The sequence below is a fragment of the Homo sapiens genome, chromosome 12 (assembly GCF_000001405.40).
Source record: "Homo sapiens chromosome 12, GRCh38.p14 Primary Assembly".
Classification (NCBI taxonomy): domain Eukaryota; kingdom Metazoa; phylum Chordata; class Mammalia; order Primates; family Hominidae; genus Homo; species Homo sapiens.
Window position 1 is genome coordinate 7940560 of NC_000012.12, and position 27175 is coordinate 7967734.

The window sequence follows — 27175 nt, forward strand, 5'->3', positions numbered from 1 at the left end:
CCAAAAAAAAAACAAAAACAAGACCAGGCGCAGTGGCTCATGCCTGTAATCCCAGCACTTTGGGAGGCCGAGGCGGGTGGATCACAAGGTCAGGAGATTGAGACCATCCTGGCTAACACGGTGAAACCCCGTCTCTACTAAAAATACAAAAAAATTAGCTGGGCGTGGTGGCGGGTGCCTGTAGTCCCAGCTATTCAGGAGGCTGAGGCAGGAGAATGGCGTGAACCTGGGAGGCGGAGCTTGCAGTGAGCTGAGATTGCGCCATTGCAATCCAGCCTGGGCGACACAGCAAGACTCCATCTCAAAAAAACAAAAAGAAAAACAAAAACAGAAACAAAAGAGCTAGTAACTGCTCTAAAACTTTGCTTGCATCTGTAATATTCCTCATAAAGAACAACTTTTGTTAAAGCAACTTTTTTATCTTCCTTTATTAGGTTAGTGTAGGCAGAGTTCACTTTGAATTTGAAAACACTGTAGAAAATAAGTCCTCAGGGTGAAGAAAGAAAGAATTTGAGAAATGTTGATTTTCCTGTCTATAGTGGGTTTAAACCATCCATCCGTCACTCCTGTTGGCCCTGAAGGGCCTAATCCCAGCTCCCAGGCCCTTACCACTTTCAGAAGGGTCTTCTCTCCTCCTCCCTCTCCCTTCTTCAAAAATGAATCAATTCCACATCAGTGCTAGATGAATTATCCTAAATCAAAATTTGAATCGTATCAATTTCCTACTCAAATACCTTCAATAATTATTGAATAAAGCCTAGACCAGTACTGTCCAATATAAATATAATGTGAACCACATATGTCACTTAAAATTTTTCTTCTGGGCATGGGGTCTCACACCTGTTGTAATCCCAGCATTTTGGGAGGCTGAGGCGGGCAGATCACTTGAGGTCAGAAGTTCAATACCAGCCTGGCCAACATTGCAAAAGCCCGTCTCTATGAAAGATACAAAAATTTAGCCAGGTGTGTGCTACGTGCCTGTAACCCCAGCTACTTGGGAAGCTGAGGCATGAGAATCACTTGAACCCAGGAGGCAGACGTTGCAGTGAGCCAAGACAGTGCCACTGCACTCCAGCCTGGGTGACAGAGTGAGACCCTGAGTCAAAAAAAAAAAAATTAAGTAGCCACATTAAGAAAATAAAAAGAAACACATTAATTTTAATATTATCCTTTGTATACCCTAATATACCCCCAAATTCTCATTTCAGCATTAAATTAATATATATAATTATCAATGAGATATATCTTGACTCTTCAGCATGATCCCAATTTAGGATGCCAGGCTTAGAATATACTTAAAATATACACCCAAGAAAAAAAAATTGGAAGTATACCTACCCTTTGCCCCAGCCAATCTAACTATTTGTCAGTTTTCAAACAGGTCCCATTCCCTGCCTCATAGTTTTTACTTTATCTTACTTTGCCTTAAAAAATAAATCCCCATCCGGGCGCGGTGGCTCACGCCTGTAATCCCAGCACTCTGGGAGGCCGAAGCGGGCGGGCGGATCACGAGGTCTGGAGATCGAGACCATCCTGGCTAACACGGTGAAACCCCGTCTCTACTTAAAATACAAAAAAATTAGCCAGGCGTGGTGGCGAGCGCCTATAGTCCCAGCTACTCGGGAAGCTGAGCCAGGAGAATGGCGTGGCGTGAACCCGGGAGGCGGAGCTTGCAGTGAGCGGAGATCGCGCCACTGCCCTCCAGCCTGGGCGACAGTGCTAGACTCCCTCTCAAAAAATAAATAAATAAATAAATAAATAAATAAATAAATAAATAAATCCCTTTCATTCCTGCTCGTACAAATCTTTCCCATCCTTTATGGGTCAATTCTAATGCAAGATCCTTCTGGCCAAAGGACATACATTTGAAGATTATGCGTATCTTTTTTTTTTTTTTTTTTTTTTTTGAGACAGTCTCACTCTATCGCCCAGGCTAAAGTGCAGTGGCGTGATCTCGGCTCACTGCAACCTCTGCCTTCTGGGATCAAGCGATTCTTCTGTCTCAGCCTCCCGACTAGCTGGGATTATAGGCATGTGGCACCACGCCCAGCCAATTTTTGTAGAGAGGGGGTTTTAACATGTTGGCCAGGTGGTCTCAAACTCCTGACCTCAGGTGATCCACCCACCTTGGCCTCCCAAAGTGCTAGGATTACAGGTGTGAGCCACCGTGCCCAGCCAAAGATCATGCATGTCTTATAATACTATATTTTATCTTGAATTTTAGGTATGTAGGTTGGAACTCCATGGGAGCATGATCTGGCTTGTTTTGAGCAGGCCTAGAATAGAATGGAAACCCACTACATGTTAGTTGAATCAATGAATGATTGTATGTAGAAGTTGTGGAAGTTGGAGGGTAGTGAAAAACCTGATGAAGACCTTCAAGTGTTTTTTTTTGTTTGTTTGTTTTTTTGAGACAGAGTCTCACTCTGTCGCCCAGGCTGGAGTGCAGTGGCACGATCTCGGCTCACTGCAACCTCCACCTCCCAGGTTCATGCCATTCTCCTGCCTCGGCCTCCCAAGTAGCTGGGATTACAGGTGCCCGCCAGCATGCCTGGCTGATTTTTTGTATTTTTTTAGTAGAGAAGGGGTTTCACCGTGTTAGCCAGGATGGTCTCAATCTCCTCACCTTGTGATCTGCCCGCCTCGGCCTCCCAAAGTGCTGGGATTACAGGCGTGAGCCACCGCGCGGGGCGACCTTCAAGTTTTAAATGAAACATCATCTCTTCCAGGAACTTCATCCCTCACAACCTGTTTCTATGTCTTTTAATTTTTTCTTTCTTTTTTTTTTTTTTTTTGAGATGGAGTTTTGCTCTTGTTGCCTAGGCTGGAGTGCAATGGCACACTCACTGCAACCTCCCCATCCCGGGTTCCAGTGATTCTCCTACCTCAGCCCCGCAAGTAGCTGGGATTACAGCCTCCCACCACCACACTCAGCTGATTTTTTTGTATTTTTAGTAGAGATGGGGTTTTGCCATGTTGGCCAGGCTCTCAAACTCCTGACCTCAGGTGATCTGCCCGCCTCGGCCTCCCAAAGTGTTGGGATTACAGGCGTGAGCCACCATGCCTGGCCAGCATCTTTTAATTTTCTTCTTCTTTTTAATTTAAGAGATAGCATCTAGCTATGTTACCCCAGGCTGGACTATAACTCCTGGGCTCAAGCGATCCTCCTGGTAGGTGGGACTACAGGCACACTCCATGCTCCTCAGAGTCTCACCTTAATTGTCTTCTTCATCACCCTAATTCACATGTGAATCCCTTAAGAGCAGGGATTTTGTGTCTTCTTTCTATTCACAGGCACTTCACATAGTCCTGGACATATGCATGAATGAACCGTTGACTGAATGACATGTCGGTCTAAAGAAAGAAACTGAGGCAAAATTAATATAGGTAGGGGGTGTATTTGGGCCAAGGTTGAGGACTGTATCCTAGAAATCACTAGGAAGTGCTCCAGAGAACAAAAGAGAACCTTGAGATTTTAAAGAAAAAAGGATTAATCAGGAGAAGGGTGAAAACAAAAGTTGTGTTTCAGGAATTCTCACAGGTTTACAGAAATAATATTGATCGGCCAGGCTCCATGGCTCACGCCTGTAATCCTAGCACTTTGGGAGGCCGAGGCAGGCAGATCACCTGAGGGCAAGCATTTAAGACCAGGCCAGGCGCGGTGATTCACACCTGTAATCCCAACACTTTGGGAGGCTGAGGTGGGTGGATCACCTGAGGTCAAGAGTTTAAGACCAGCCTGGCCAACATGGTGAAACTCTGTCTCTACTAAAAATACAAAAATTAGTTGGGCATGGTGGCACATGCCTGTAGTCCCAGCTACTCGGGAGGCTGAGGCAGGAGAATAGCTTGAAACCGGGAGGCAGAGGTTGCAGTGAGCCGAGAGCACGCCACTGCACTCCAGCCTGGCAACAGAGTGAGACTCTGTCTCAAAAAAAATAAATAACATTGATCAGTGATTGGTTATACCTAGTTGAACTATAGGATATGAGTTATGGTGTCCAATGTACTGTATCATTCAATTAATTTTTTTTTTCTTCTAGACGGGGTCTTTCTATGTCACCCCAATCTCAAGTGATCCTCCTACCTTAGTCTCCTGAGTAGCTGGGATTACAGGCACGCACCACCATGCCCATGTTAATTTATAGCTGTTGATGCTGACACTCAATCTAGAGTTCATATAGAAGGCCACATCAAAATAATGACTTGGCTCAAGCGGGGATGGGAAGTGACTGCAGTCTTATTTCAATGCCTCTCTGGACCTGGTAATTTAAAGGTGATTCAGATTCCTCAGATAAAAAAGTTTATTGTTGGCCAGGCACAGTGGCCTGCACTTTGGGAGGCCAAGGCGGGCGGATCACCTGAGATCAGGAGTTGGAGACCAGCCTGCCCAACATGGGGAAACCCCGTCCCTACTCAAAATACAAAAATAAGCTGGGCATGGTGACGCATGCCTGTAATTCCAGCTATTTGGGAGGCTGAAGCAGGGGAATCGCTGGAACCCAGGAGGCAGAGGTTGCAGTGAGCCAAATCGCGCCACTGCACTCCAGCCTGGGCAACAGAGCAAGACTCCCTCTCAAAAAAAAAAAAAAAAAAAAAAAAAAAAAGTTTACTGTATTTCTCAGAACAAATGAACAAACTAAAACTTATGAACACTTCAGTTCCCCCTAAAGCATTTGGTTTAGGAAGGTCACACAGTCATGCTTGCAGGCCACACAAACAGGGCACAGCTGACAGTGAAACCAAGGTTAGTAAGTACATTATTTTTATTTTTAAATTATAGAGACAGGGACTCACTATATAGACCATGCTGGTCTCAAACTTCTGGCCTCAAGCTATCCCCCTGTCTCAGCCTCCCAAATTGCTCAGATTATAGGTGTGAGTCACCACACTTGGCCAAGGAGTACATTAACCCATAACCAAGTATGTGAAGTTTACTTTTACTCTTTTTGTATGTTAGCCTTGAATACATAATATAGGACTTTTGGAAAACTCAAACAACAAACTCATGATGCTCATAATTGACACATTTACATCATTCCACACAGTCTGAAACTGGGACAAAATACTGCAACCAGGATTGCCTTGGAAAATCTGGGCATCTGGTCATTGTATTAATGTAGTATTCTCATCAACTCTCTGGGTAATTTTTAAACTTTTGAAATGTGTAAGTTCCTCACACATAGAAAGGCTTAATCATTGTTGAATTAATTGTAGAGGGTATAGAAACAATCTGGATCTTTCTTCCTTTTTATAATAAATTGCAATAGGACTTCAATTCTGCCAGCCATAGGTCCTTTTGTTTTACAGTAGCCATCTTTGTCACTCATAGGTATTAAAACATGGCTTGGGGAGGCCTAGGTGGGGGCATCGCTTGAGCCCAGGAGTTCAAGACCAGCCTGGGTGATGTAGTGAGAACTTGTCTCTACAAAAAATTTAAAAATTAGCTGAGCGTGGTGGTGTGTGCCTGTGGTCCTAGCTACTTGAGAGGCTGAGGTGGGAGACTTTTGAGCCCAGGAGGGCAAGGCTTGCAGTGAGCCGTGATCATGCCACTGCACTCCAGCCTGGGCGACAGAGCAAGGCCCTGTCTCAAAAAACAAAAACAAAAACAAAAAAACCCAAAAGAAACAAAAAACCCATGCCCTGAAATTGTTAAAGCAGATACCTATTTTAATGTTGAGCAGGCCGAGCCCGTTAGCTCACTCCTGTCATCTCAGCACTTTGGGAGGCCAAGGCCAGTGAATCACCTGAGGTCAGGAGTTCGAAACCAGGCTGATCAACATGGTGAAATCCCATCTCTACTAAAAATACAAAATTTGCTGGGCTTGGTGGCACATGCCCGTAATCCCAGCTACTTGGGAGGCTGAGGCAGGAGAATCACTTGCTTGAACCCAGGAGGCAGAGGTTGCAGTGAGCCGACATTGTGCCATTGCACTCCAGCCTGGGCAATAAGAGCGAAACTCCATCTCAAAAAAAAAAAAAAAAAAAAAAAAGAAGTTATCTCTTTAAATGAAATAACATCTTTAAATAAAATTTAAGAGGCTGAAATTTAAGCGACTAAAATTTAATATTCCTAGTCTCTAATACCAGGATTTGTAGTGAACTCTATTCCCAGAATAGGGCAGTAGTATTGAATTTGGGGGACATGGTTCAGTCCATAACACCATGTTACTGGAGATTCACTCCTTTGTATTCTTCCATCTGGAATATTCTTTCCAATCAGCTAACTCCTGATCATACTTCAATAACCAGCATTTCTTCTCATTTGTGAAACTTTCCCAGAGAAACCTAAGAAGATCTCATTTCCTTTGTGCCACCAACCATCTCAAACATACCCATAATTTAGTACTTATTGAATCCCATGGTGAATATTTGCTTACCTTTCTAAGCTGTGAGCACTCTAGGGGCAGAGACTTGATTTTACCTATCTCTGTATTCACAGTGCCTAATAAATAGGTGATCAAAATGTCAAATTAGGGGAATAAAACACGTCCAAAGTATATCTTTAGGACCGCTAATATCTAAATAAGCTACAACCTAATTAGATAACATAATTATAGAAGAGATTCATTAATAAAATTACTTTTATAAGTCTCAAAAATGTCCCTTAGATAAGTAAATCCTTCTAGGAATGTAGGTAGATGGGGCATGATAACCCAATTAAGATAATACTCTTTCTTCCTTTCCTTTCCTTTTTCCTTCCCTTCCCTTCCTTTCCCTCCCCTCCCCTCCCCTCCCCTCCCTCCCTCCCTCCCCTCCCTTCTCTTCCTTTCCTTTCCTTTTCTTTCTTTTTGAGATAGGGTCTAACTCTGTCTCCCAGGCTGGAGTGCAGTTGTGTGGTCTCAGCTCACTGCAACCTCTGCCTCCTGGGCCCAAGCAATCATCCCACCTCAGCCTCCTGAGTAGCTTGGGCCACAGGTGTGCGCCACCACACCCAGCTAATTTTTTGCAGAGACGCGGATTTACCATGTTGCCCAGGCTGGTCTGGAACTCCTGAGCTCAAGCCATCCACCCGCATCGGCCTCCCAAAGTGCTGGGATTACAGACAAGAGCCACTGAGCCTAGCCATTTTATTTCCCATGCATTGTTTTCGTCTTTTTATTTTATTTTATTTATTTATTTTTGAGTCACAGTCTCGCTCTGTTGTCCAGGCTGGAGTGATCTTAGCTCACTGCCACCTCTGCCTCCTGGTAAAGCAATTCTTGAGCCTCCACCTCTCCAGTAGTTGGGATTACAGGCCCATGCCACCAAGCCCGGCTAATTTTTGTATTTCTAGTAGAGACGGGTTTCACCACGTTGGCCATGCTGGTCTCAAACTCCTGACCTCAAGCTATCCACCCACCTCGGCCTTCCAAAGTCCTGGGATTACAGGTGTGAGCCACCACACCTGGCCTGCCTTGTTACTTCTAAGTAATTATTTTTATTTTTCTTTAAACAAGTACTTTTTATTTTTAGATGGAGTCTCGCTGCAGTGTCTCGATCTCGGGTCACTGCAACCTGCGCCTCCTGGGTTCAAGCAATTCTCCTGCCTCAGCCTCCCGAGTAGCTGGGACTAAAGGTGAACACCACCACACCCAGCTAATTTTTGTATTTTTAGTAGAGACCGGGTTTCACCATGTTGGCCAGGATGGTCTCAGTCTCTTGACCTCGTGATCTGCCCACCTTGGCCTTCCAAAGTGCTGGGATTATAGGCGTGAGACACCTTTCCCAGCACAAGTACTTTTTTTTTTTTTTTTGAGACTGAGCCTCGCTCACTTTGTTGCCCAGGCTGGAGTGCAGTGGCGCGATCTTGGCTCACTGCAAGCTCCGCCTCCTGGGTTCAAGCCATTCTCCTGCCTCAGCCTCCCGAATAGCTGGGACTACAGGCACCCACCACCACGCCCGGCTAATTTTTTGTATTTTTAGTAGAGATAGGGTTTCACCATGTTAGCCAGAATGGTCTCAATCTCCTGACCTCATCATCCACCCGCCTCAATCTCCCAAAGTGCTGGGATTACAGGCGTGAGCCACCGTGACTGGCCACAAGCACTTTTTCATATTTAGCAGAGATTAAAATGGTTCTACCATACTATAACATCACATATATTATACTTATTGTTAAGAATCAATAATGTCTGAATATGCTCTAATCAATATCTAGAAAGTAAGTCGATCATTATACTTGATAAAGGAAGACCTGAGAAAAAAAGGAAGAACCAGGTTACTAAGAGGCGGAAGTGAATGTTTATGTCACAATTACCATACAAAAAACCACTACCTTATACAACAGCTGCCCACAATTTAGCCCCCAAATCTCCCCAATCCCTATATGCCAAACTAATTCTGAAAGACTTGCAGTGCAAAGCAAAATCTTTGTGTTTATAGACTCTCTCCAGTGTTTTAATAACAGCTTTTTCCCCAGGATTGGAGAAACAAGTGACACTCCTTGCAGAGTATTTCAGTGCTTCCCTGAAATGACCATCTACTCTAAAGCAGAAGCTCTTTCTCTGACACCTCCCTTGCAGATCACAACTGCCTATTAACCTTGGGCAGGGCTGCACAAATATTCCCCTTACTCATTGTATATCCTCTTTAACACCCAGCAGAATGTAAAAGGTATGAGACAATCTGAGACTTGGCATTATTACTTTATCTACTTCCTCTTATTGTCAATACTAGAAAAAAATAGGTAGGAGAGAGAATTTTTACAGTTTGGTGTAGTTAACTAAGCAGAGGTTTGGACATCAGAACAGAAAAATGTGAAGCCCAGCTCTGGAGCATGAACTAGAGTTTGGATATTCAAACAAGTCACTTTCTTTTTTTTTTGTTTGTTTTTTGAGACAGAACCTTACTCCGTCGCCAGAGCTGAAATGCAATGTCACTATCTCGGCTCACTGCAACCTCCGCCTCCCGGATTCAAGCGATTCTCCTGCCTCAGCCTCCTGAGTAGCCAGGATTACAGGTGCCTGCCACCAAGCCCAGCTAATTTTTGTATTTTTAGTAGAGACAGGGTTTCACCATGTTGGTCAGGCTGGTCTAACTCTTGACCTAGTGATATTTTTCATCAACTATTTATTGAATACCTACTGTTTTCTAGATACACTACTAGGCACAGACAATATAGGTTTGCAGTGAGCCGAGACTGGCCATTGCACTCCAGCCTGGGCAACAGAGCGAGACTCTGTCTCAAAAAATAAAATAAAATAAAATACTCACCTCAAAGGCCAGGTATGGTGAATCCTAGCACTTTAGGAGGTTGAGGCGGGAGGATTGCTTGAGCCCAGGAGTTTGAGACCAGCCTAGGCAACACAGTGAGATCCCATCTGTGTAAAAAATAAATAAATCAAAAAAATGCATAATGACTGACTGAAGAAATGAATATTTGTTTGGGCTATAGAGTGTATGTGCCTTTTTTTCACTTACATTGTCTCATTTGATTTTTCCAATAATTTTGTGAGATGGGTATTCAAACCTCCAATTTAAATACTGAAATTGAGATTTAGAGAAAGAAAATGACTTGTTTGAGGCTGGGCGCGGTGGCTCATATCTGTAATCCCAGCACTTTGGGAGGCTGAGGCGGGCGGATCACCTGAGGTCAGGAATTTAAGACCAGCCTGGCTAACAAGGTGAAACCCCATCTCTACTAAAAATACAAAAATTAGCCGGGCATGGTGGTGTGTGCCTATAGTCCCGGCCATTCAGGAGGCTGAGGCAGGAGAATTGCTTGAACCCTGGAGGCAGAGGTTGCAGTGAGCCAAGATCTTGCCACTGCACTCCAGCCTGGGCAATAGAGTGAGACTCTGCCTCAAAAAGAAAAAAAAAATTGAGACAGAGTCACTTTGTCATTTAGGCTGGAGTGCAATGGCGCCATCATGACTCGCTGCATCCTAGAGCTCCTGGCTCAAGCGAGGTCGGGGCTGCAGTGAGGCATGATGCCATGAACTTCCTGCCTCAGTCTCCCAAGCAGCTGGGAATACATGTGCAGACCACCATGCCTGGCTAATTTTGTTGGTTTTTAGTAGAGACACAGTCTTCCCATGTAGCCCAGGCTCGTCTCAAATTCCTGAGCTCAAGTGATCCTCCTGCCTCGACCTCCCAAAGTAGTGAGATTACAAGGCATGAGCCACTGTGCCCAACATCTACATTTCAGTACGGAAGATATTTGTGATATTTTATTTTATGTGTCAACTTGGTTGGACTACAGTGCCCAGATATGTGGTCAAACCTCATTCCAGTGCCAGGCGAGGTGGCTCACGCCTGTAATCCCAGCACTTTGGCAGGCCGAGACGGGTGGATCACCTGAGGTCAGGAGTTCAAGACCAGCCTCAACATGGAGAAACCCCATCTCTACTAAAAATACAAAATTAGCCGGGCGTGGTGGCACATGCCTGTAATCCCAGCTACTCGGGAGGCTGAGGCAGGAGAATTGCTTGAACCCAGGAGGCGGAGGTTGCAGTGAGCCGAGATCGCGCCATTGCACTCCAGCCTGGGCAGCAAGAGCGAAACTCCATCTCAAAAATAAATAAATAAATAAATAAAATAAATAAAAAATTTAAAAAAACCCTCATTCTAAATGCTTTTGTGAGAGTGTTTGGGATGAGATTTATATTTCAATCAGCAGAGTTTGAGTAAAGAAGGTTATCTTCCATAATGTGGGTAGGCCTCATCCAATCAGTTGAAGACCTGATAGAACAGCAGACTGACTCCCTGAGCAAGAGAGAATTCTGCCAGCAGAGGGGCTTCAGACTTCAACTGCAGTATCAGCTCTTCCTGGGTCTCTATCCAGTCAGCCCTTCTTGCAGATTTCGGACTTGCCAGCCTCTATAATCATGTGAGCCAGGCCGGGTGCAGAGGCTCACACCTGTAATCCCAGCACTTTGGGAGGCCGAGGCAGGCGGATCACCTGAGGTTGGGAGTTCGAGACCAGACTGGCCAACATGGTGAAACCCCGTCTCTACTAAAAAATAAAAAAAATTAGCCAGGCATGGTGGTGCGCGCCTGTAGTCCCAACTACTCAGGAGGCTGAGGCAGGAAAATCGCTTGAACCTGGGAGGCAGAGGTTGCAGTGAGCCGAGATCATGCCACTGCACTCCAGCCTAGGGTACAGAGTGAGACTCATCTAGAAAAAAAAATGAAATAAATAAATAAATAAATAAATAAATAAATAAATAAATCTCTCTACACAGGCAATCATGCTTGCACATACACACACACACACACGTATGCACCCTATTGGTTCTAACCCTAACTCATACAGATTTTGGTACTAAAAAGTAGGGTGTTACTATAACAAATACCTAAAAATGTGGAAATGGCTGTGGAAGTGGGTAATGAGTAGCAGCTGAAGAATTTTGAGGTAAATACGAGAAAAAGCCTAGATTGCCTTAAAGGGATTCTTGCAGCCGGGTTCGGTGGCTCATGGCTGTAAGCCCAGCACTTTGGGAAGCCGAGGCGGGTGGATCACCTGAAGTCAGGAGTTCAAGACCAGCCTGACCAACATGGGAAAACCCTGTCTCTACTAAAAATACAAAATTAGCCAGGTGTGGTGGTGTGCAACTGTAATGCCAGCTACTCAGGAGGCTGAGGCAGGAGAATCGCCTGAACCTGGGAGGTGGAGGTTGCAGTGAGCTGAGATCTCGCCATTGCACTCCAGCCTGGGCAACAAGAATGAAACTCTGTCTCAAAACAACAACAACAACAACAAAAATGATTCTTGGTAAGAATATCAACATTAATCAACACTAAAAGTGATTCTGTTTCTCCATGGGACCCTCTGAAAAATAAATATACAAAATAAATAAATAAATAAAAAGGCGATTCTGTGAGTTCCCTGAGGGAAATGAGGAACATGTTATTGGAAACTGAAGAAAAGGCAATCTATGTTATAAAGTGGCAAAAAAAACTTGGCTGAACATTGTGCCAATGTTTTGTGGAATGAACTTGTTTGTCATGAAATGCATATTTAGCTGAGGTGATTTCTAAGGAAAATGCTGAGGATATAGCCTGCTTTCTCCTTGCTGCTTATAGTAATATGTGAGAAGAAGAGATAAACTGAATGAGAAATTGTAAGCAAAAAGGAACCATTATTTGGGAAATTCTTGGCCTATCTATATTGCAAAGTACTGAGAAAGCATGTTCTGGAGAGAATACTGTGAGTGTGGCTAGAAAATCATTTGATAGTTGGCCGGGTGCGGTGGCTCACGCTTGTAATCCAGCACTTTGGGAGGCCGAGGCGGGCGGATCACGAGGTCAGGAGATCAAGACCATCCTGGCTAACATGGTGAAACCCGTCTCTACTAAAAATACAAAAAATTAGCCAGGCGTGGTGGCGGGCGTCTGTAGTCCCAGTTACTCAGGAGGCTGAGGCAGAAGAATGGCGTGAACCCCGGAGGCAGAACTTGCAGTGAGCTGAGATCGCGCCACTGCACTCCAGCCTGGGCGACAGAGCAAGACTCGGTCTCAAAAAAAAAAAAAAAAAAAGAAAATCATTTGATAAAGAAATAATGGGCTGGGCGTGGTGGCTCGGGCTCGTTATCCCAGCACTTTGGGAGGCCAAAGTGGGTGGATTACCTGAGATCAAGAGTTCAAGACCAGCCTGGCCAACATGATGAAACCCTGTCTTTACTAAAAATACAAAAATTATCCGGGCGTGGTGGCACAAGCCTGCAATCCCAGCTACTTGGGAGGCTGAGGCAGAAGAATCGCATGAACTCAGGAGGCAGAGGTTGCAGAGAGCCGAGATCGCACCACTGCACTCCAGCCTGGGCAACACAGTGAGACTCTGTCTCAAAAAACAAAAAAAGAAAAATGGAATTTGCCTTGCTAGAATTTTGATTTGGAAGTCCAGGTACCCCTTTCTTCTTTCTTATTTCCCCCATTTCCCCCTTTTGCAAGGGGAATGTCTAGCCTATGCCTGTCCCACCATTATATTATGGAAGCACATAACTTGTCTGGTTTCCCAGGGTCAGATTAGAAAAACAAATTTGCCTCGGGATTAATCACACCTTGAGTCTCACCCATACCAAATGTAGATGATATTCAGATGAGATTTTGGATTTGGAACTGATGCTGGAATGGTTGAGACTTTAGGGCCTGCGGGGCGCGGTGGCTCACTCGCGCCTGTAATCCCAGCACTTTGGGAGGCCGAGGTGGGTGGATCACGAGGTCAGGAGATCGAGACCATCCTGGCTAACACGGTGAAACCCCGTCTCTACTAAAAATACAAAAAAAATTATCCGGGAGTGGTGGCGGGCGCCTGTAGTCCCAGCTACTCAGGAGGCTGAGACAGGAGAATGGCGTGAACCCAGGAGGCGGAGGTTGCAGTGAGCCGAGATTGCGCCACTGCACTCCAGCCTGGGCGACAGAGCGAAACTCCGTCTCAAAAAAAAAAAAAAAAAAAAAAAGATTTTAGGTGCTGCTGGGATAGAGATAAATGTATTTTGGATGTGAGGACATACATTTTGGGGGGCCAAAGGGCAAACTGTCATGGACTTAATTGCGTCCTAAAATTCCTATGTTGAAGCCCTAACCCCTAGTAACTTATAATGGAACTGTATTTGGAGATGGGGCCTTTAAGGAGGTAATTAAGGTTACATGAGGTCACTAGGGTGGGGCTCTAGTCCAATAGGACAGGTGTCCTTATGAGAAGAGGAAGAGGCATTAGGCCTGTGAATAGAGAAAAGGCCATGTGAAGACACTGAGAAGACAGCCATCTGCTACTGAAGGGAGAGGTCTCAGGAGAAACTAAGCCTGCTGGCACCTTGATCTTGGATGTCCAGCATCTAGAACTTTGAGAAAACAAATTCCTGTTGTTTAAGCCACCTGTTTGTGGTATTTTGTTATGGCAGCCTTAGCAGACAATAAATATATACTGTCAAGTAATAAGGGAGCATTTTGAAGAAGAAAATATCAAGGTAAGGCGATAAAGGGTTGGGGCTGGGGAAGATTAAGATAGAGTGGTTAGGGTTCCTCTCTCAGTAGAGATGATACTTGCACAGAAACCTGAATCACACGAGAAAGTCAACCTTGGGAGTATCTCAAAACAGCATTTCAAACAGAAGGCATTTCAAACGCAGACACCAAAAGGAGGACTCGTGCTTGGCAGGGTGTCAAAAGGTGGATTTGGCAGGAGTGGAGTGAAGCGGGGGCAGAGTGGCAGGAGAAATGATGTTGAAGACGGCTAGGAGTCTGCTCATGCAGGACGCTGTAAGCAGTCATGAACGTTCTGGTTTATATTCCGAATGTGACAGACAGCCAGGAAGCTACGAAGCCATTTTAGTTTTTTGAGCAGAAGCATGACATCAGTTGATTCGTGTTTTTAAAAAAGTATGTGCTGTTGAATGGAGAAGATGCTGAAGGAGGGTGCTGTGGTTTAAATGTGTGTTCCCTCCAAAATTCATGCAGAAACTTAATCCTAATTGTGGTGATATTAAGAGGCTGGACCTTGGCAGGGCGCGGTGCTCACGCCTGTAATCCCAGCACGCTGGGAGGCCGAGGCGGGCGGATCACCTGAGGTTGGGAGTTTGCGACCAGCCTGACCAACATGGAGAAACTCCGACTCTACTAAAAATACAAAATTGGCTGGGCGTGGTGGCGCATGTCTGTAATCCGAGCTACTCGGGAGGCTGAGGCAGGAGAATCGTTTGAACCCGGGAGGCAGAGGTTGTGGTGAGCCGAGACCGCGCCATTGCACTCCAGCCTGGGCAACAAGAGTGAAACTCCGTCTCAAAAAAAAAAAAAAAAAGCCGGGCGCGGTGGCTCACGCCTGTAACCCCAGCACTTTGGGAGGCCGAGGCGGGTGGACCACAAGGTCAGGAGATCGAGACCATCCTGGCTAACACGGTGAAACCCCGTCTCTACTAAAAATATAAAAAATTAGCCGGGCGTGGTGGCGGGCGCCTGTAGTCCCAGCTACTCGGGAGGCTGAGGCAGGAGAATGGCGTGAAGCCGGGAGGCGGAGCTTGCAGTGAGCCGAGATTGCGCCACTGCACTCCAGCCTGGGTGACAGAACGAGACTCCGTCTCAAAAAAAAAAAAAAAAAAAAAAAAAAAGGCCGGACCTTTTGGGAAGTGACTGAGTCATGAGGAGTCTGTCTCCATGGATGGATTCATCCCCATATAAAAGGACTTCAGAGGACAGGCAGGGTGGCTAATGCCTGTAATCTTAACACTTTCAGAGGCCAAGGCGGGCGGATTGCTTGAGTGCAGAGGTCCTTATTTCCTCCTTTTGGACCAGCCTGTGTAACACGTGGGGACCCTGTCTCTACCAAAAAAAATACAAAAAATTAGCCGGGCATGGTGGTTTGCACCTGTAGTCCCAGCTACTCGGGTGGCTGAAGTGGGAGGATCACTTGATCCCAGGAGGTCAAGCCTGCAGTGAGCTGTGATCGCGCCACTGCACTCCAGCCTGGGCGACACGGTGAGAATCCATCTCAAAAAACAATAACAACAAAAATTACGCAGTCTATGTTACTTTGTTTTTGTTTTTTGAGACGGAGTTTTGCTCTTGTTGCCCAGGCTGGAGTACAGTGGCGCAATCTCGGCTCACCACAACCTCCGCCTCCCGGGTTCAAGTGATTTCTCCTGCCTCAGCCTCCTGAGTAGCTGGGATTACAGGTGCGCACCACCACGCCCAGTTAATTTTTTATTTTTTAAATTTTTTATTTTATTTCTTGAGACGGAGTCTCACTCTGTCGCCCAGGTTGGAGTGCAGTGGGGTGATCTCAGGTCACTGCAAGCTCCGCCTCCTGGGTTCACGCCATTCTCCTGCCTCAGCCTTCGGAGGAGCTGGGACTGCAGGCGCCCGCCACCACGCCCGGCTAATTTTTTGTATTTTTAATAGAGACGGGGTTTCACCATGTTAGCCAGGATGGTCTCGATCTCCTGACCTCGTGATCCGCCCACCTCGGCCTCCCAAAGTGCTGGGATTACAGGCATGAGCCACCGCGCCAGGCCAATTTTTTGTATTTTCAGTAGAGACGGGATTTCATGATGTCGGTCAGGCTGGTATCGAACTCCTGACCTCAGGTGATCCACCCGCTTCGGTGCAGGGATTACAGGCTTGAGCCACCGCGCCCTGCCAGTCTGTGTTACTTGGTTACAGCAGTATGAACAAAGACACAGGGTAAGAGTGGGAGCATAGAGACCAGTTAGGAGGCTACTGGTCCAGGTGAGAAATGACTTGGTAGTGGGTTGTTGTTGGATTTAAAATGTATTTTCAAGGTGCAACCTACTGGTGGTCTAGATGTTGGGCATAAGTGAAAAAACGGAGTCAAGAATGATCCTAAAGGTTTTGGCTGGAGCAACTGGAGAACTGGAGTTGCCATTTACCTCAGTCAGGAAAGCAGACAGAGACTTCAGGGTCAAATCAAGACTTTTATTTTAGATGCGCTAAGTCTGAGATGTTGTTAGGTTATGCACTAAAAATAGTGTTCCCTTTCTCTTTCATCCCAGATGCTGGGAATATACAGATAAAAAAGATGTTCAGGCCGGCACAGTGGCTCACACGTATAATCCTAGCAGTTTGGGAGGCCGAGGTGGGTGGATCACCTGAGGTCCGGATTTCCAGACTAGCCTGGTCAACATGGTGAAACCCCATTTCTAGTAATAATACAAAAAAAATTAGCTGGGTATGGTGGCCTACGCCTGTTATCTCAGCTACTCAGGAGGCTCAGGCAGGAGAATCTCTTGAACCTGGGAGGCTGAGATTTCAGTGAGCCGAGATCATGCCATTACACTCCAGCCTGGGCGACAAGAGCGAAACTCCGTCACACACAAAAAAGATGTTCCCTGCCTTTAAGGTCTCGTGGTGGTAAAGGGGATGGAGAGTGACATATAATCAAGCGTTCCGCCTTTGTTTTAATTAATAGGCTTTACTTGGGGTAGAACAGTTTAAGGTTTACAGAAAAATTAAGCAGAAAGTATACAGAGTTCCCATCTACTCCCTTAACCCCCTTACTAGTAACATTTGCATTAGTATGATACATCTGATATATATATATGTATATATATGTATATGTATATATATACATATATATGTATATATATATGTATATGTATATATACATATATATATGTATATGTATATGTATATATACATATATATGTATATGTATATATATATATGTATATATATATATATATATAGAGAGAGAGAGAGAGAGAGAGAGAGAGAGAGAGAGAGTTTTGCACTCTGTCTCCCAGGCCGGAATGCAGTGGCATGATCTCGGCTCACTGCAACCTCTGTTTCCCATGTTCAAGCGATTCTCCAGCCTCAGCCTCCTGAGTAGCTGGGATTACAGGCACCCGTCATCATGCCCGGCTAATTTTTGTATTTTTAGTAGAGATGGGGTTTTGCCATGTTGGCCAGGCTGGTCTCGAACTCCTAACCTCAGGTGGTCTGCCCGTCTTGGCCTCCCAAAGTGTTGGGATTACAGGCTTGAGCCACCGCGCCTCGCCACATCTGTTATATTAATAATTGAGGAGCTAATATTGATACATTATTATTACCTGAAGTCCATAGTTTATATTTGGGTTCATTCTTTGTGTTGTATATTCTATGGGTTTGATAAATGTATGATATCATACAGAACAGCTTTACTGCCCTAAAAATCCCATGTTCCACCTCCCTTCCTTACTCCTCCAACCCCTGGCAATCACTGATCTTTTTGCTGTTTTTGCATAGTTTTACCTTTTCCAGAATGTCATACAGTTGGAGTCATACATTATGTAGCCTTTCCAGATTGGCTTATTTCACTTAGTGATATTCATTGAAAGTTCCTCTATGTCTTTTCATTGCTCACTTCTTTTTATCACTGGATAATATTCCATTATTTGGATGCACCACAGTTTATCCCTTCACCTACTGAAGGACATCTTAGTAAGTTTTAGCAACTATGAATAAAACTGCTCTAAACATTCGTTTGCAGGTTTTCATGTAGATGCATGATTTCAACTCATTGGTGTAAGTACCAAGGAGGGTGATTGCAGGATCACAGACAAGACAAGGGTTTTAAAAGTCATCTTCACTTGATCTTAGCCAAAAGGCCGAGAAGCGGGAAAAGTGTTCTTCTATACAAGTGCCAATATATAAGCAACACAGATAATTGCTTGCATGAAGTGAAGACAGTTCTTTGAGTTCCTTAACTTTTCTCTAGCAGTGCTCTAAAGCTATAAATGTCCTTCTTTCTCTGTGTAGCTATTAGTGGGACACTATCACCAGGCTACCACCCCCCTCCCCCCACTCACAGGAAAACAGCTACATGATGACTGAAGTGCTTAGCTGACTCACATCTACGCTTTCAAAACCAGAAGCACATGGCAATCTATGGGCACTTTTTTTTTTTTTAATTTCTTTTGAGACAGAGTTTCGCTCTGTCACCCAGGCAATGGCGTGATCTCAGCTCACAGCAACCTCCACCTCCCGGATTCCAGTGATTCTCCTGGATTACAGATGCCCACCACCACGCCTGGCTAATTTTTGTATTTTTAGTAGAGACAGGGTTTTATCATGTTGGCCAGGCTGGTCTCAAACTCCTGACCTCAACCTCAAGTGATCAATCCAACCACCTCGGCCTCCCAAAGTGTTGGGATTACAGGCTCGAGCCACTGTGCCTGACCTATGGATACTTTTCAATACAGTGTTTCATAATTAAAGGTCTACATTCTTTTAACAGGGCTTCTCCCTAACTTTGGTAACCCTCCAGTGCAGCAGAGCCTAACTCCCTGGAAAAGATTCACCGAGTTCTCTAGGAGGAAAAAGACTACTGAAGCCCCAGGATGCTGTTTATCAAATGGGGTTCTAAAATGGGCTAGGAGGTGTGGTGCTTTATGCCTATAATTACCTTGCTTTAGGAGGCTGAGATGGGAGGATGGCTTGAGGTCAGGAGTTTGAGACCAGCCTGGGGAACATAGCAAGACTTCATCTCTACAAAAAAACTTTAAAAATGAGCCAGGTGTGGTGGTGCCATGCCTGTAGTTCCAGCTACACCGGAGGCTGAGTAGGCAGGATCCCTGAACCCAGGAGTTTGAGGCTGCAGTGAGCCACTACCCTCCAGCCTGGGGAGCAGAGTCAAACCCTGTTCCCTCTTTATCTGCCACCCCCACCCCCCCAAAAAAAGAAAGAAAAAATAACATAGACTAGGCAAATACCCCCGAAAGTGAATGCAAATGTATTTTAGTGTACTCTTGAGGGGCGGTGAGGTGCAAACTCTCTTATCACAGTCTCAAAAAGGAGTACAAGACTCAGAATACAGCCAGATTGGCCTCCGGGCATTGAATGTGGTAGGAAGTGGGGAGGAAGCCACTGCAGAGGAGCCTTAGTGTGGAAACAGCAGGTGTGGTCTGCTTGCAACAGAGGTTCTCCTCCCACTTTTAGGGACGGCTCCTGGTGGAATCACAAAGAGCAAGCTCCTTTCAAGCCTGAGGCCCCAATTCCTTTCAGGCAAGGGGAAGTTAAGAGAAAGGGCAGGTAACATTAGTGCCTGATTAAGGTACTTAAGCAAAATAGCACTACAATCCTCAGAACATGCCATAGTCTGAAGAGACAAAAACTCTTCACCCTCACTTGTATAAGGGGTCACTGTAATATTTTAGCATTTGCCTTTAGCAACTTGAAGAGGAAGAGATGTGAAGTAGCAGCGGCAAAGCTCTCTTAAGTGAAAAAGACTCGTGTATTTTCCTTTTCCATACATTTGACACCACAGGCATTTAACACATTTTTAACATTCAGTGGCTGTTACATACTATACAGTTTTCTAGCTATTATACTTGTAGTAATTCTATGACCTGATGCATATTCTACTATACATACTTCATTTACAAGTGCCACACAATCTTTCTGTGTAGTGAAAAATCAGCTTCCCGGCCGGGCGCGGTGGCTCACGCCTGTAATCCCAGCACTTTGGGAGGCCAAGGCGGGCGGATCACAAGGTCAGGAGATCGAGACCATCCTGGCTAACATGGTGAAACCCCGTCTCTACTAAAAACACAAAAAAATTAGCCGGGCATGGTGACGGGCTCCTGTAGTCCCAGCTACTCGGGAGGCTGAGGCAGGAGAATAGCATGAACCCGGGAGGCGGAGCTTGTAGTGAGCCGAGATTGCGCCATTGCACTCCAGCCTGGGCGACAGAGCGAGACTCTGTCTCAAAGAAAAAAAAAAACAAAAAAAACCCGTCTTCCCTAATTTATGCATTTTTCTTACAAATAACACAAGCTGTTGACCTCTTATTTTTAGCCTCCCAGCTGAATAGGGCAGTTACAGAAATATTTGGATGAGGCGGGCCCAGAAACCAAAGAATTTCTTCCTGTCTGTATCTACCCTGTAGGTTAGCCCCGCCTGCTGGCGTCTTGCTTTTGTAAAAGGCTGCGTAAGCAAGTGCAGACGTGAGTTGCAGATCATCTTGAATCTCCGGAGCGACAAGCTCCATCACTCAAAGCGGATCAAATACTCTGGTCCCTTCTTTGTTCTTCTGTTTCTCTTCTCCTCCTATGGAATTTATCCTCCTGTTGATGCCACCGAGCGATACGACAACATCTTTATCTCCCTCAGCGTCCTGTTTTCCTTCATCCTCTTTGGTTCTTGGTCTGTTTGGCATGGATGTGCACAATCTCATGGGAGTGCAAAATCTCGAGTACTTCTTGCATGATTCAATGCAAATTTATTGCAGCAATACTCTACCTGTTTTTAAAATGTGTGCAACAAGTGTTGACTTCAGTGGCCTGACCCTATAATCCTGTAACTGTTTAAGTGTTCGGACATGGGAAGTTGCTTTGATTACAACCACAATATTCAAAAACTAGATTCCATGTAGATTTATTTATTTTCTTTATTTATTTTTTGGAGACAGGGTCTTTCTCTGTTGCAAAAAGGAGCTGGCTGGAGTGCAGTGTCACGATCTCAGCTCACTGCAGCCTCGACCTGCTGGGCCCAAGTGATCCTCCTGCCTCAGCCTCCTGAGTAGCGGAGACTATAAGCACATGCCACCATGTCCAGCTAATGTTTGTATCATTTGTAGTGACAAGGCTTCACCATGTTGCCCAGGGTGGTCTCGAACTCCTGGGCTCAACTGATCCACCCTGGCCTCCCAACGTGCTAGGATTACAGGCGTGAGCGAACCCCAGGTAAATTTTAAAATCCAGCTTAATTCCAATTACATGTAAGTGGCTGCTTTAAGCTAATGGAAAATAAGCAAGTTTATAATTTTTAAAAAATGAAATTCAAAATTAAGAGATAACCCATGAAATCTTATACCCTGACAAGTGGCCCTTTAAAGGCTGTGGACCTTACCTTGATATTCTCTGGCCTTCTTCCCCTAGATACTATTAATAAACAGCAGCAGACTAACGTAGTGACAACAAGAGTGAATAAGAAAGACAAATGGCCTGAAAAATCCACAAGGGGATATAAGTCTGGGTTCGTTTATTTATACAGATCTACTATGTTGCCAAACCCAGTTTATATTCTGAGGATACTATGGTGTGGTAGGAGAACTCCATTTCCTGTTTGCATAGAATTTAAATTCTACTGGGATGAGGCTATGTATTCATTTTTACGTTTTATTTCTTTTTTGTTGTTGTTCTCGAGACAGAGCCTTGCTCTGTCGCTCAGGCTGGAGTGCAATGGTGCAATCTCAGCTCACTGCAACCTCCACCTCCTGGGTTCAAGGGATTCTCCTGCCTCAGCCTCCCGAGCAGCTGGGATTACAGGCGTGCACCACCACGCCCAGCTAATTTTGTATTTTTAGTAGAGATGGGGTTTCTCCATGTTGGTCAGGCTGGTCTCAAACTCCCGACCTCAGGTGATCCACCTGCCTCAGCCTCCCAAAGTGCTGGGATTATAGGTGTGAGCCACCGAGCCTCCGCCCCACCCCCACCACCATTCTTCTTAACGATCTAAATTTAGACTTTCCAAACATACTCGAAGTAGATGTGAGGAGCTTAATCAAATCATCACAGAAACATTCGTCTCTGTAGTGGTAGAAATAGGTACTTGATAAATCAAACTGTCAGTTTCTTCTGTTACCTCATTTATAATTCATAACAATATTTAAAATTTGCTATTGTCATCCTCATTTACACCAAGAAATCTCTAAGTAATTTGCTCAAGGACCCACAGTTTGGGGCAGAACTAGTTGTCCATACTATACTATAGTATACTACATTGTTGTAGATTAAGAGAAATATATCCAATGTATGTTAAGAAGAAAGAATCCGGGGCCGGGCGCGGTGGCTCACGCCTGTAATCCCACCACTTTGGGAGTTCGAGGTGGGCGGATCACGAGGTCAAGAGTCCGAGATCAGCCTGGCCAATATGGTGAAACGCCTTCTCTACTAAAAATACAAAAATTAGCCGGGTGTGGTGGTGCGCGCTTGTAGTCCCAGCTACTCAGGAGGCTGAGGCAGGAGAATCGCTTGAACCCGGGAGGCGGAGGTTGCAGTGAGCCGACGTCGCACCGCCACTGCACTGCAGACTGGACGACAAAGCGAGACTCCGCCTCAAAAAAAAGAAAAGAAAAAAGAATCCGGGATAGCCACTCTTTCTCCATCCACGTCTATCCTACCCTTTTACGCCTAGAAATGGAGCCTGTTCTTGCCCCTTCTTAGGCAGCTTGTCATAAACAGGAAGCATGTGTCCTGGGTGCAAGACATCTGGAGACTGACGATAAGTGGCTGTTCAAGGGTTGTAGGAAAAGGGAGACATTCTCCCCCGCGAGTTTAGTAAAGATTCTATTCTTAGGCTCTAGAGAGAAGGTGAAAGGAAGTTGAGGATGCCAGGCAGGGAGGCTGGATAAGGGAAGGAAAGCTCTTGCTACTTATCAGTGTTCTGTCTGCAAAGAAGAAACGTCAAAGGGAAAAAAGGGGGAGTCTCCTTCAGTAATAATGGCTTTGCAGAGCTGATTACCTTTCAGTTCAGTTAAACCAGGGGTCTGAAACTATGGCACTGGGTCCAAATCAAGCCCAACACCTGTCTATCACCACACATAAACTAAGAATGATTTTTGCATTTTTAAATGATTGAGGGTGGGGGGGAATCAAAATAATTATTTTGTGGCTTGTGAAAATGATATAAAATTCAAATTTCAGTGTCCACAAGTAAAGCTTTATTGAAATACATTCACGTTCATTCATTTATATATTGTCAAGGGCTGCTTTTGCACTACATATGGTCAGAGTGGGTAGTTATGACAGATTGAATGGCCCACAAGGCCTAAACTATTTGCTATCTGATCCCTTACAGTAAGTAAAGTTAGCCAACTTGTGATTTAGACAGTAGAGGAATCAAATGAAATAGCATCAAAAAGTTGTAGGATCATTGGGCCATTCTAACCCTAAGTCAGAGGAAGAAATGGAATGGGAAGTAGAGGGTGAACAGAAAGAACACAATACATCTGAGTGGGACGCACACATGTTGAGTAGTAAAAATCTCTGAGGACTTCTTGTTAGGGGATGCCAAAAAGTGGGCCTACCAAGAAGATATAAAAAGGCTGAGATTAGGGCGGGGTGCGGTGGCTCACACTTGTAATCCCAGCACTTGGAGAGGCTGAGGCGGGTGGATAACCTGAGATCAGGAGTTCGAGACCAGCCTGGCCAACATGGGGAAACCCCATCTCTACTAAAAATACAAAATTAGCCATGCATGATGGTGCGTGCCTATAATCCCAGCTATTCGGGAGGCTGAGGAAGGAGAATCACTTAGAACGCGGGAGGCAGAGGTTGCAGTGAGCCAAGATCATGCCATTGCACTCCAGCCTGGGCGACAGCTCGATACTCTGTCTCGGAAAAAAAAAAAAAAAAAAAGCTGAGATTAGGAAATAGAAATTTTTTCTCCAAATTTCTCTCATTCCATGATATAGGGAATGGGAGATAAACTTAGCAATGTTGAGAATGTCCTCTACTTAAGGGCACTAGTTCAATAAACTGTTCCCCAGGTTCACTGTGGGCTGATAAATTCACCTGGTTATTTTACTTATCTAGAAACATAGTACAGATATTAAAATACCTAAATCCCCAGTGGCCGCTTTGAACATAGTGCTACCCTCCATATTACTAGAAAGAGGAAAATTCAAGACTGGATTAGAGAAATGGCTAATGAAAGATGGGCTGACAGCTAATCTTAAATTCAACTCTCCCTTTTTTCCATAGCTTCATGGTCATTTTCTGTGATCCAAAAAGGTGGTGAAAAGACTGCATTTGGCCAGGCGTGAGGGCTAATGCCTGTAACCCCAGCACTTTGAGAGGATGAGGCGGGCGGATCACTTGAGGTCAGGACTTCGAGACCAGCCTGGCCAACATGGTGAAATCCCGTCTCTATTAAAATACAATATTAGCCGGGCATGGTGACGCATGCCTGTAATCCAAGCTACTCAGGAGGAAGCTAAGGCAGGAGAATTGCTTAAACCCAGGAGGCAGAGGTTGCAGTGAGCCGAGATCAGGCCACTGTACTCCAGCCTGGCAACAAGAGCGAAACTCCATCTGAAAAAAGAAAAAAAAAAACACAAAAATTACCACTATCATCACCCATCTACCTAATGAAGTGTGGGTGAAGAAAACAGATGTGGAGAACAGCGCAGGAATAATAACTTTAGTGGAATTAGTCCCTGAATAAACCATTATAAATAGAATACATTTAGCTGGGCGTGGTGGCACGCACCTGTAGTCCCAGCTACTCGGGAGGCTGAGGCAGGAGAATCGCTTGAATCCGGGAGGCGGAGCTTGCAGTGAGCTGAGATCGTGCCACTGCACTCCAGCCTGGGCAACAGAGTGAGACTCCAGCTCAAAAAATAAAATAAAATAAAATAAATAGAATACATTATTAAACATAAATTACTAACTTGTTTATCCTATACTGACTGTTATCATGGATAGATCCTGAGTCATATTTCTAAATACATTATGGGAGCCTGTAATAAAAAAGTCACATCCTACATGACGCTTTAAAGTCCTGTGTAGTTTTATAATATGATTGTTTTAGTTCATTTATTCACAAATTCAGATTTTAGTGTGGCACAATAGGTGTGTTTAAAGCAGAACGTGCTTGAACTTTGTAATGATTGTCCTTCTACAAGATGCTGGACGCTGTTCTAAAGACACATATGTCATATGGTAAACATGTCTAAACAAAGTCCTACAAAGTTTATTTATTTATTTTTAAAATAAATATGTCTTTTGTTTTGTTTTTTTGAGATAGGGTCTCACTTTGTCACCCAGGCTGGAGTGCAGTGGTGCAGTCACAGCTCATGCAGCCTCACCTCCTGGCCTCAGGTGATCCTCCTGCCTCAGCTCTCTATTACTCCATTTTCACACTGCTATAAAGAACTACCTGAGGCCGGCCGGGCACGGTGGCTCACACTTGTAATCCCAGCACTTTGGGAGGCCGAGGCGGGCGGATCACCTGAGGTCAGGAGTTCGAGACCAGCCTGGCCAAAATGGTGAAACCCCCGTCTCTACTTAAAATACAAAAATTAGCCGGGCATGGTGGCAGGCGCCTATAATCCCAGCTACTCGGGAGGCTGAGGCAGGAGAATTGCTTGAACCCGGGAGGCGGAGGTTGCAGTGAGCCGAGATCGCGCCATTGTACTCCAGCTTGGGGGACAAGAGTGAGACTTCGTCTGAAAAAACAACAACAGCAACAAAACAACAACAACAAAGAACTACGTGAGGCTGAGTGCAGTGGCTCATGCCTATGATCCCAGCAGTTTGGGAGGTCAAGGTGGGTGGATCACCTGAGGTCAGTTCAACACCAATCTGGCCAACATGGTGAATGAAACTCCATCTCTACTAAATATACAAAAATTAGCTGGGCGTGGTGGCGCATGCTTGTAATCCTAGCTACTTGGGAAGCTGAGGCAGGAGAATGGCTTGAATCTAGGAAGCCGAGGTTGCAGTAGCTGAGATCACACCATGGCACTCCAGCCTGGGCAACAGAGCAAGACTCTGTCTCAAAAAAAAAAAAATAATAACTACCTGTGACTGGGTAATTTATAAAGGAAAAAGCTTGGTAGGGTGTGGTGGCTCACGCCTATAATCCTAGCAATTCGGGAGGCCGAGTTGGGCTGATCACGAGGTCAGGAGTTCGAGACCAGCCTGGCTAACGTGGTGAAACCCCATCTCTACTGAAAATACAAAAATTAGCCGGGCGTGGTGGCAAGCATGTGTAATCACAGCTCCTCTGGAGGCTGAGGCAGGAGAATTGCTTAAACCCGGGGGCGGAGGTTGCAGTGAGCCGAGATCACGCCACTCCGCTCCAGCCTGGGCGACAGAGGGAGACTCTGGAAAAAAAAAAAAAAAGCTTTAATTGACTCACAGTTTCACATGGGTGGGGATGCCTCAGGAAACTTACAATCATGGTGAAATGGGAAGCAGGGCACGTCTTACATTGCAGCAGGAGAGGTGGCAGAGGGCAGGGGGGAGACCACCACACACCTTTCAACTATCAGATCTTTTTTTTTTTCTTTTCTTTTTTTTTTTGAGACGGAGTCTTGCTCTGTCGCCCAGGCTGGAGTGCAGTGGCGCGATCTCGGCTCAATGCAAGCTCTGCCTCCCGGGTTCACGCCATTCTCCTGCCTCAGCCTCCCGAGTAGCTGGGACCACAGGTGCCCGCCATCACGCCCGGCTAATTTTTTGTATTTTTAGTAGAGACGGGGTTTCACCGTGTTAGCCAGGATGGTCTCGATCTCCTGGCCTCATGATCCACCCGCCTCGGCCTCCCAAAGTGCTGGGATTACAGGCTTGAGCCACCGCGCCCAGCCGAACCATCAGATCTTGTTAGAACTCACTCATTATCACTAGAACAGCATGGAGGAAACTGTCCAAATGATCCAATCACTTCCCACCAGGACCCTCCCTTAACAGGTGGGGGTTACAATTTGGGATGATGTTTGTGTGGGGAAACGGAGCCAAACCATATCAGCCTCACAAGTAGCTGGGACCACAAGCCTATGCCACTTATGCTGCACTAATAATTTTTAACATTATTTGTAGAGATGAGGTCTTGATACATCGTCCAGGCTGGACTCGAGTTCTTGAGCTCAAGTGATCCTTCCATCTCAGCCTCCCAAAGTGCTGAGATTAGAGGCTTGAGCCACCAGGCCCAGCCTATTTAATGTTTTGTTTTTTTAAAATTTATTAGAAAAAAAATTTTTTTTTTGAGACAGAGTCTTGCTCTGTCACCCAGGCTAGAGTGCAATGGTGCGATCTCG

At 45.3% G+C, this 27175-nt stretch overlaps 1 long non-coding RNA gene across 1 annotated transcript, besides 3 other annotated features; it reads right to left on the minus strand.

The window, feature by feature from the left end:
- Nucleotides 18207–18316: an enhancer, noted in NCBI's record as "active region_5923". NCBI's record gives its function as "activates an Ori minimal core promoter by ATAC-STARR-seq in GM12878 lymphoblastoid cells {active_cell/tissue: GM12878}" and the evidence as "EXISTENCE:reporter gene assay evidence [ECO:0000049][PMID:35858748]".
- Nucleotides 19252–19377: a transcriptional cis regulatory region, noted in NCBI's record as "candidate enhancer chr12.444 targeted for multiplex CRISPR interference". NCBI's record gives its function as "positively regulates SLC2A3 gene expression with high confidence in K562 cells {active_cell/tissue: K562}" and the evidence as "EXISTENCE:mutant phenotype evidence [ECO:0000015][PMID:30612741]".
- Nucleotides 20150–20484: a transcriptional cis regulatory region, noted in NCBI's record as "candidate enhancer chr12.445 targeted for multiplex CRISPR interference". NCBI's record gives its function as "positively regulates SLC2A3 gene expression with high confidence in K562 cells {active_cell/tissue: K562}" and the evidence as "EXISTENCE:mutant phenotype evidence [ECO:0000015][PMID:30612741]".
- Nucleotides 23055–26462, minus strand: LOC124902871 (uncharacterized). The gene is made up of 2 exons (XR_007063198.1): nt 24628–26462; nt 23055–24449 (listed from the first exon to the last, which is right to left on the minus strand). It is a non-coding gene; the product is annotated as an uncharacterized LOC124902871 (long non-coding RNA).
- Between the last annotated feature and the right edge of the window lie 713 nt (nt 26463–27175).